Source organism: Homo sapiens, chromosome 16 (genome assembly GCF_000001405.40).
Source record: "Homo sapiens chromosome 16, GRCh38.p14 Primary Assembly".
Lineage (NCBI taxonomy): Eukaryota > Metazoa > Chordata > Mammalia > Primates > Hominidae > Homo > Homo sapiens.
Genome location: NC_000016.10, coordinates 18614863 through 18626018, shown reverse-complemented (window position 1 = coordinate 18626018; position 11156 = coordinate 18614863). Strand labels below are relative to the sequence as shown.

The following is an 11156-nucleotide window of genomic DNA, read 5'->3' as shown; positions in this document are numbered from 1 at the left end:
GAAGGTTCTATGGAGCTCTAAGTGTTCTATCTGGTCTGCCCGAGTTAGTAGAGGGATAAGAATAAAGAAAAAAAATGTTACTATTCCTCTACGGCCCATCACACACATGGGTGAATCAAATGGGCAAAGCAAGAGTAGAATTTTACACCACCATGCCGTAAACCTGGATTGTTTTGACTGTTGAGCATCTCCTCTCTCTTTTCTATTCTTTTTCTTTCTCTTTCTTTCTTTCTTTCCTTCTTTCTTTCTTTCTTTCTTTCTTTCTTTCTTTCTCTCTCTCTCTCTCTTTCTTTCTCGCTTTCTCTTTCTTTCTCTCTTTCTTTCTCTCTCTCTCTCTCTCTCTCCCTCTCTCTCTTCTTTTCTTTTCTTTTGAGACGGAGTTTCACTCTTGTTGCCCAGGCTGGAGTGCAGTGGCGCAATCTCGGCTTACTGAAACCTCCACCTCCCGGGTTCAAGCGATTATCCTGCCTTAGCCTCCCAAGTAGCTGGGACTACAGGTGTGTGCTACCACACCCAGCTAATTTTGTATTTTTAGCAGAGATGGGGTTTCACCATGTTGGTCAGGCTGGTCTCGAACCCCTGACCTCAGATAATCCACCCACCTCAGCCTTCCAAAATGCTGGGATTACAGACGTAAGCCACTGCACCCGGCCTCACTTTCTTTTACCCACATCAGTCCTGATAATTTCCAGTCCCAGCATCCTGCCTTCTCCCTCACTCCCGTAGAAGGACTGGGCAAGTGACCAGGCCAATCAGAGTTCCCCAATATCCTGGCCATGTGGATTGGTCCAGCTATGGGCACGTGACCTTAGCTAAGCCAATCACCTATTCAGAATGTTTTTTGTTCTTTAATACAGAGCTGTGAGAGACAGGGTCTTGGCTTTTGAATAATGGGGCTGAAAGAAGTGAGTCAGGGACTGCCAGGGGCTGTCTCCTATACCATGAGGAGAAATCTCGTCTATAGGGAGAACGAGCCAAAAGATGGAAAGTCATTGAGAGGGAGAGGGAGAGGGACATTGAAGTGGGGGAGAGAAAGAGAGAGACATAATATAATGTTGAGCTTTAAATCAGCTCTATCTAGACTTAGAAAAGCCAATAACTTCCCACTTTTCTTGGACTGATTTGAGTTGGTTTTTTGCTACTTTAGCCAAGTGGTCCCCGTGATGGCTCCCCATTTCTTTAGATGAAAATCCCAAGCCCTCACGTTGGCATGCCAGGACACACCTGCCCTAGCCTCAATGGCCTCATCTCCCGTCCCTCTCGCCATTGCTTACTCCGCTGCAGCCATTCCTGCCTCCTTGCTTGTTCGTCAAACGTGCCAGGCCCTACTTCATACGGATTAAATCAGACTTTTTGAGTGGGATCAGGACATTAGTATTTTATTTGTTTTTAATTTAATTTTATGTTTTGAGACAGGGTCACTCTGTTGCCCAGGCTGGAGTGCAGTGGCACGAACACGGCTCGCTGCAGCCTCGACCTCCCAGGCTCATGCGATCCTTCTAATACTCACCGTTAGCTGGGACCTCAGCCAGCCAGTTAGCCAAAATGTATGCATGTGGCCTCCCCAGGTGTTCTCTTCACATGGGCTAGTTGGACTTCCTCACTACATGGTGGCTGGTGTGCAAGAGTGAGTGGCTCCAGAAAGCAAGGAGGACATGCCTATGATTTTTTATGCTCTAGCCCTGGAAGTCAAATAGCATCTTTTCTGCTGTAATCTTAATCTTAATGATTGAGGCAGTTGCTAAGGTTCAAGTGGAAGGGATCATAGACTTCATCACTCAACATGAGAAATAGAAGCTTACAACCACCTGTCCTCAGCCTCCCAAGTAGCTGGGACTACAAGCATGTGCCACCATGCCTGGCTAATTTTTTGAATTTTTTGGAGAGACAGAGTCTCACTATGTTGCCCAGGTTGGTCTTGAATTCCTGGGCTCAAGTGATCCACCCGCCTTGGCCTCCCAAAGTGCTGGGATTGCAGATGTGAGCCACTGGGCCCGGCCGGTGACATTGGTATTTTTAAAAAGGTACTCAGTGATTTCAATGTGTAGCTAGAGCTGAGAATCACTCCTTCAGACTAATAAAGAAGGTCAATGGCTATTAAGGCAACTACCCTAAAGAATTAACTTAAAGTCTATGTGTAAGTTTGTCTCTTGTCAACATAGAGTCTAGTTTCCTTCTAATTTTGATTATAAAATAGGAAAGCACTTTCCTATACTATAAAAAAGTTTGCTTTAAGAGTCCCAGGACTGATTTATTATGACCTTGAGATTTAAAAACATTTATTATTGGAAACCATGTTTGTTTGAACCATGTTTGTTTGAATGTTTATTGTAGAAAAGTCCATTTTTCCTTTTAAAGTCATAAACTAAATTTGTTACAGGAGGTTGATTTTGTGTTCCAAGCCTGTGATCATTAACTGTTTTCCAGCTCTACCAGGTAGGGTATTGAACCTTTTCTTATTTGATATTCAAATAAATTCTCCTTTACCAAAATGTTATTTTGCAAATAACTAAGTGACTCTAATGGATTAACTTTAAAATGCAATGCCAAATCTTGATTTTCCACGAATGAATAATTTGAAAGAAATTTCTCTGTTCACTACATATACGCCAGAAAGAATATCAACCTTGGCTTTTGATATATTTTAAATTCCTGGTTCAAGTTTCTTATGTGGCCAAATTGTTCTTAGTGACCTGGGCTTCTGTAAAATGTCCCTGATTCCTTTCATAAAATGCTTATTTTGGCTTATGCTGCTCGAGTGAGTTTCTGTTACCATCTTTGATAAAGACAATCATTAATCCTGACAGCAGCCTTGCAAAGTGAGTCTTATTATTCCCATTTCACAGATGGATAATCTGAGCCCTTGGGTACTGAGAAACTTGCTCAAGTCCATACAATTAGGCACTGGTAGTCCCTGGACAACAACCCAGATCTACTTGACCCCAAAGCTGATGAGTTTCCACCCTCACAGAAGGTCCTAATATGGCACATTGCTTTTTTTTACATTGGGATATAATTCATGTCTTATAAAACTCACCATTTAAAAGTGTATAATTTAGTGGTCTTAGTGTATTCTCAAGATTTTTCAACTATCACCACTGTCTAATTCTAGGATGTTTTCATCACCCTCCAACCCCAGACCTCTACCATTAAGCAGCCACTCTTTCACTCCTGTCCCCCAGCCTCTGGCAACCACTAATTTACTTTCTGTCTCTGTGGATTTGCCCATTCTGAGTATTTGATACACATGGAGTCATACAATATGTGGCCTTTTGTGTCTTGGTTCTTTCACGAAACACAGTGTTTTCTAATTTCTAATTTCTACATTTCTGTCGTAGAATATATCAGTACTTCATTTCTTTTTATGGCTAAATAACTTTCCATTGTATGGATAGACCCCATTTTGTTTATTTATCTGTTTACAGACATTTGGATTATTTCCACCTTTTGGCTATTATAAGATACATTTTGTAAATAACATTGTTATAGAAGTCTTGTTTTCCAAATTAAACAGAAGGGCAGGTCCTGTTTCACACACTTTTTTTTTGTATTAAAAATATATGAGGGCTCTTCCAGTTGCTATTACTGGGTAACAAATCACACCAATTTTTAGTGCTATAAGCCACAATTTTATTACACTCACAGATCCTGTAGGTCAAGAATCAGACCAGAGAGAGTGGCTTGCTCTGCCTCATGATGTCTGGGGACCCAGCTGGGAAAACTCAAAAGTTGAGGGTGACTTGATGGCTGGGGACTAAAGGCATCTAGAGGAATCTTCTGTCACATGCCTGTATTTCATACTCACTGTTAGCTGAGACCTCAGCTAGCCAGTTAGCCAAAACGTCTGCATGTGGCCTCCCTAGGTGGTCTCTTCAGGTGGGCTAACTGGACTTCCTCACAACATAGTAGCTGGGGTCCAACAGCGAGTAGCTCAAGAAAACAAGGAGGAAGTGCATATGCTTTTTATGTTCTAGCCCTGGAAATCAAATAGCATATTTTCTGCTGTAATCTTAATGATTGAGGCAGTTTCTAAGGTTAAAAGGGGAGGGATCATGGACTTCATCACTCAACAAGAGAAATAAAAGGTCACATTATGACAGCATGTGGTATGGGAGATATCACTATGGCCACCTTTGGAAAAAAACCATCTGCCACAAGGACCTTGCACTGGGCTTGTGACAGGTATCCAGTAGATCCTTATTTAATTAAATATATTCATGCTTATCAACAAATTACATATTGGCCTGCCTGCTTGTTTGTTCATGAATCCATCTCCTCCTTCAGAAATGACCCCTTCTTGGGTATTATTCTAATGCTTTCATTTCTTAACTTCTGCATTTTCCTAGCTTAGGCAAATCACTTTACTTCTCAGAGCCTCAGTTGTCTTACCCATAAAATGGGCAAACACATTTGTTCCCACTCTACAAAATTAGTTTGGGAATTCAGTGGGCTAAGGTATAAATAGTGCTTACTTTAGATGCTGTTTGGAGGTAAAGGTTCAATAAATGATAACTATTATTATTGCTGTTGTGATTACCTGAATGTAATCCCCATTCTCTTATACTTTTCAGCATCCTGTCCAAGCCTTTAAGATGAGGAACAAATTCTATGTGAGGAGAAATGGCAAAAATTGGTATGCCTCTGCTTTTCTGATTTCCCATTCCCTTCCATTTCTCTTATTAACAAATAAAAGTAAGGAAATCCTGTCCTGTGGATAACTTCCCATTGACTTGCAGAGAGCTCAGACATGCTATGGTAGATATGGATACTGTTTTGTTTTTGTTTTTTGAGATGGAGTCTTGCTCAGTCACCCAGGCTGGAGTGCAGTGGCATGATCTCAGCCCACTGCAAACTCCGCCTCCCAGGTTCAAGTGATTCTCCTGACTCAGCCTCCCGAGTAGCTGGGATTACAAGCAGATGCCACCACACCCAGCTAATTTTTGTATTTTTAGTAGAGACAAGGTTTAACCATCTTTACTAAACAGACTAGGCTCGTCTTGAACTCCTGACTTCAAGTGATCTGCCCACCTCAGCCTCCCAACGTGCTGGGATTATAGGTGTGAGACACTGCACCTTGCCAGTGGTGGATATTGTTGATTTAAAATAATAGAAATAATAAATCTCCAATCTCAGGGAAGTTTCCATAGTCCTAAAGTCAAAACTTCCGATCTTGCCGTGTGCTTGAATTATCCTCAATTAGAGTCCCTGCTGCTGTTGCTTGTCGCTGTAATTATTCTGTCATCATTAATTCAATGAAGCCTATTAACCCACATCAGATAGTGTATTTATCTACAATGCATGTTACCTGCTCCTCTAGATAAGACAGCTGTCATACTTCAAGTCTGCTGTCTCTTTGTTGAGGTCCAGTAGTGTCAGTCTGCAAGTGTTTCATATACATTACAGAATCCCCATTAATGGTTGATATGATTAGGCTTTGTGTCCCCACCCAAATCTCATCTTGAATTACATTCCCTATAATCCCCACATGTCAAGGGAGAGACCAGGTGGAGATAATTAAATCATGGGGGCAGTTTCCCCCACGCTGTTTTCATGACAGTGCGTTCTCACGAGATCTGATGGTTTTATAAGGAACGCTTCCCTCTTTGCTTGGCATTTCTCCTTCCTGCTGCCTTGTGAAGAAGATGCATTGTTTTCCTCTTCACTTTCTGCCACAATTGTAAGTTTCCTGAGGCCTCCCCAGCCATGCTGAACTGTAAGTCAGTTAAACCTCTTTCCTTTATAAATTACACGGTCTCAGGCAGTTCTTTACAGCAGTATGAAAATGGAGTAATACAATGATGTTCTTATAACTTCCCAGACTGGAAGGCTTGCTGGTCTTGTGAGATACTGAACTGGAGACAGCAGAAAAATGCATCCTCCTGATATTGTGAGCAACCTCCTCTCTTCTTCCCTCTCTCCTCTTCTTCCCTTTCTTCTGTTTTCCCTTCTAGGAGCCAAGAGCATAGGCTCTGGAACCAGCCTGCCTGGTTTGAATCATGCCTCTGCCTGGGGATCTTGGGCAGGTTGCTTGGTCTCTCTGAGCCTGTTTTTTTCATCTGTGCAAGAATCACAACTCTCTTGTGAGAATTTAATGTGCTAATCTGCATAAAGCGCATAGACCACTGTCTGGCTCATGCTAGGAGTGTAACTGTGGTTATTTCTTCCTATTTTCTTCCCTCCCTTCCAACAGAAGAAAGTCTCTGAGATGCGTGTCTTATGTGGCATATGCTGGACTTGGTGCCTGGGGTTCATTGGCAGACTAGTCCCTCTGGTACCTCCAGCAAGGAAGACAGATGTTAATTATTAATTGATACCCATTGTGATAAATCTCACAAGGTACCATGAATGGGTATAACAGCTCCCTTTCTGCGGAGGAGGTGGAGGTGATAGGTAAGACTTCCTGGAGGAAGTAACATTTGAACAGAGATCTGAAAGATAAAATACTTCCAGGAGGAGTGTGTGTGTGTGTGTAAGTCAGTCAACATCAGAACACCTCCAGCAGTGGAAACAGTGTATAGGAAGCTCTGAAGTAGGAAGGATCCTCTGTTAATGGTTTTTTTTTTGTTGTTTTCCCTCTTCGAGACAGAGTCTCAGTCTGTTGCCCAGGCTGGAATGCAGTGGCACAGTCTCAGCTCACTGCAACCTCTGCCTCCCAGGTTCAAGCAATTCTCGTACTTCAGCCTCCTGAGTAGCTGGGATTACAGGTATGCACCACCATGCCCCAATAATTTTGTATTCTTAATAGAGATAGGGTTTCTCAAACTCCTGGCCTCAAGTGATCTGCCTGCCTCAGCCTCCCAAAGTGCTGGGATTACAAGTGTGAGCCACCATGCCTGACCCATTAATGTTTTGAATAGGTAATACTTTTGCATGGTCCAAATTCCAAAAAATACAAAAGGATAAACAGTGAAATGTCTCCCTTTTTCCATTTACCACCTTCCCCCTACCTCTATCCCTGAAGCAACAAATGAACCAATTTCTTTGGTATTCTTCTAGAAATATCCTGTGCATACATAAGCAAAATGTATGTGTGTATGGTGTATATACATATATACACTATATATAGTGTGTATATGTATATATACTATATATAGTGTGTATATGTGTATATATATACTACATATAGTGTGTATATGTATATGTGTATATATATACTACATATAGTGTGTATATGTATATGTGTATATATACACACATATATACTATATATAGTGTGTATATGTATATGTGTATATATAGTGTGTATAGTTTATGTATATACATATCCACACTATATATAGTATATATATGATATTCACATATCATCTCCTTTTATTTTTTAATATGAAAAATGCTTCTCCGTTATTTGCTTTTTTCACCTTTCTCTTAAATACATATCTTGGAGATCCTTCCTTATGAGTACACAGTTAACTTTCTTATTTTCTTTTCTGAGTGGCAGAGTACACCATGTAGTACCCTATAATTTGTTTAAGCAACCTCCTACTGATGGATGTTTGGGTTATTTCTACTCTTCTGCTATTATTTAAAAAAACTATAATCGATAATCTGATACCGGTGCAATTTGCTCCTGTGCAAATGTCTGTGGGATAAATTTCTAAAAGTGTAATAGTTGGGTCAAATGACACACTTTTCTCCATAGAGGTTGTAAAAAATTTACACCCATCCCTCAAGGAATGTTTGAGTTCCCATAGTGGCATCAAGCACCATGTATTATTGAGTTCTTTTTAATTTTGCCAATCTGATAGGTGAAAATTGATATCTCAGCATAGTTTTAATTTGCATTTATCTTACTCTGAATAACACAGAGCATGTTTTCATTTGCCCAAGAATCACTTGTGTTTCTTTTCTTACAAACTGTTCTTATCTTTTGTCCATTTTTCTATGAATCTGCTCTTTTGCTTATTGATTTTATACATTAGGGGAATTAGCCATTTTCCACGCCTTGCTTCACAAACATTATTTCCTGGGTTTTCTTTTGTATTTTGACTTTGCTTAGGGTGGTTTTGGTTCCGCAGCTCTGTTTTTTAAAAAACTTCTATGTAATCAAATTTTTTTTTGCGGGGGGGTCTCCCGGGTTTGTGACATACTAAGAAAAACCTTTGTCATTTCAAGATCATAAGATAATTCTATTCTTTAAAAAAACACCTTCAGAAAAGGGGATTCCAGATGCGACTTTAATGATCCTTTCCTGTGTTTGCCAAGCATCATGGTAGAAATACCTTCCTTATAGCCACATGAAACCCCTGATGCTGGAGTGTTGTGTTCACCTTATCGGCAAATATTTCCCCAGCACCTCCTATGTGTCAGTGTAGAACTGAACAGCACAGAAGCTACAAAGACTAAGAAGCCAGTAAAAGTTCAAATTCCACTACCCAGAAGTAACCACCATAAACACTTGGTATTATCATGAATTTTTTTAATAAAAAACTCCATAAGCACATATTTTTAAGATAAAAATAAGATTATTGTACACATAATTTTTCTGACCTGATTTCAAAATATATCCAAGACTTCTTTCTCTGTTACTAACTGTAAATGTAGATTTAACATTTAACTATGGCAATGATTTACATGTAGCAGGGTTTGTGAAATGACTCCTTGTGGATGGACAGTGAGACTATCCTCCCTCTTCCACCATTCTAAGCAATGCTACCAAGAACATCTTTACATCTCTATCTTTGCCCTCTTGTCTTAGACCTAGAATTTCTGGGTCACATTGTTAAACTGTTTTTAGGAAGATTGTGCTGACTTATATTCCCACGAGCAATGTAAGGTATGCCAGAAAGAGGGCGGGAGGTTGGGAGTGGGAGGAGAAGGGGGCGGAGGAGGAAACTGGGTAAATGCTATTGGTGATAAAAAGGAGACAGTCTCACTGTCTATCAATAGGGAGGTCACTCAGCAAATCCTGCTACATGCAAATCGTTGCATAGTCATGAAATATTAAATGTTAAATCTACATTTACAGTTGGTGACAGAGAAAGCAGTCTTGGATTTATTTTGAAATTAGGTCATAAAAATTATGTATGCAATCATCTTATTTTTGTCTTGAAAATATATGTTCATAGAGTTTAAAAAAATCATTCATGATAAATACCAAATGTTTATAGTGGTTATTTCTGGGTGGTGGCATTTGAACTGTTTTATTTTTAATTGGCTTTTTTTTTTTTTTAATTGAGATGGAGTCTTGCTCTGTCACCCCGGCTGGAGTGCAGCGGTGTGATCTAGGCTCACTGCGACTTCTGTCTCCTGGGTTCAAGCGATTCTCCTGCCTCAGCCTCCTGAGTAGCTGGGATTACAGGCACCCGCCACCATGCCTGGCTGATTTTTGTAATTTTAGTAGAGATGGGGTTTCACTGCATTGGACAGGCTGGTCTCGAACTCCTGACCTCAGGTGATCCACTGCCTTGGTCTCCCAAAGTGCTGGGATTACAGGAGTGAGCCACTGCACCTGGACTTTTATTGGCTTCTTTATTCATCTTTGTAGTTTCTGGGCTGTTCAGTTGTATATCGACATATAGTAGGTGCTTGGGAAATATTTGCTGATGAAGGCTATTTTGGGAATTAAAAAAATGTATTTCAGGGGGCAGCAAACTATAGCTCCAGGGCCAAATCTGGTCTCTGCCTATTTTTGTAAATAAAGTTTTATTGGAACAGCCTCATACACCCGTTCATTTACATAGCATCAATGATTGCTTTGGCCCTACAAGGGCAGAGTTAAGTGATTGCAACAGAGCCCACATGGTCAAAAGAGCCTCAAATATTTACTAACTGATGGTTTACAGAAAACGTTTGCTGCCTCCTGGTTTATTTCATTAAAGAAGTTATATTACACCTCTTTGGTGTCTCCATTCACTTTACCACTTATGTTAACGTGGGAATGATGACACCAACCTGGAAGAGTCACATACGTAAGGCATACAGCCTGGTGTTTGTCTTTTGGTGCATGTATAATCAATACTAATTCACCTTCCCTTCCTAAAGACTTTTACTCCCAGGAAGTGGAAGCAGAAAATGGGCAGGTATGAGGCACCGGGTTGGTGATAGCTTTTCTCTGCTTTTACTTCCCATTTTCTGTCCCAAAGTTTGAGGAGTTCATTTTTTCCCTTCTGAGTAAAAAAAATTTTTTTTTTTTTTTGAGACAGAGTCTTGCTCTGTTGCCCAGGCTGGAGTGCAGTGGCATGGTCTAGGCTCACTGCAAGCTCCGCCTCCCAGGTTCAAGCTAGTCTCCTGCCTCAGCCTCCCTAGTAGCTGGGACTACAGGCGTGCACCACCACTCCCAGCTGATTTTTGTATTTTTTGAGTAGAGACAGGGTTTCAACATGTTGGTCAGGCTGGTATCGAACTCCTGACCTCAAGTGATCCGCCCACCTTGGCCTCCCAAAGTGCTGGGATTACAGGTGTGAGCCACCGTGCCTGGCTTCTGAGTAACTTTCAAACACCTGAAGCCCCAAACTTAGAAGTCACAAGAATCATGTCAAGCCTAATAAATGACTGTTTTTTCCTGTTATCAAACTTTTTAGGGAAACAGGATTTCTGTCACTTACTTGGACTCAATAACACTCACACATATTTAAAAAACATTGTAGGGAGTGTTTTGGATGGATGGTATCAAGGAATAGGGGGTCTGCAGTTGTCATGCACATTAAGCAGTGGCATTGAATTAGGGTCTGTGGGAAATCTGGTAGTATCAGAGCATGCAGGCTTCTCAACCTCTGTACTCCTGACATTTTAAGCTGGATGATCCTTTGTTGTGCGGGCTGCAGGATGTCTACCTGGTGTGGTAGACAGAACAATGCCCCCTCTCCTCAAAGATGTTCATATCTCAACTCCTAGAATCTGTGAATACATTACATTAAGATGGCAAAATCCAAACGAAAACAAAGCAAGAGAAAACTCTCGCAGATGTGATTGGAATGAAAAATCTTGAGATGAGGAGATTATTCTGAGTTATTCAGGTGAGACTCAGGTAATTGCAAGGGTCCTTAGAAGATGATGTGACATGATGATAGAATAAGAGTGGGAAGAGAAGATGTTACCCTGTTGCTTTGAAGATGGAGGAAGGAGCCATGAGCCAAGGAATGCAGGCAACCTCTAGAAGCTGGGAAAGGTGGGGAATAGATTCTCCCCTAGAGCCTCCAGAAGACATGCAGCCCTGT

At 40.9% G+C, this 11156-nt stretch overlaps 1 long non-coding RNA gene across 1 annotated transcript; it reads left to right on the top strand.

Moving 5' to 3' along the window:
* Positions 1-2379: 2379 nt before the first annotated feature.
* On the top strand, positions 2380-4704 carry LOC124903655 (uncharacterized). The gene is made up of 2 exons (XR_007065009.1): positions 2380-2436; positions 4572-4704. It is a non-coding gene; the product is annotated as an uncharacterized LOC124903655 (long non-coding RNA).
* The last annotated feature ends 6452 nt before the right edge of the window (positions 4705-11156 follow it).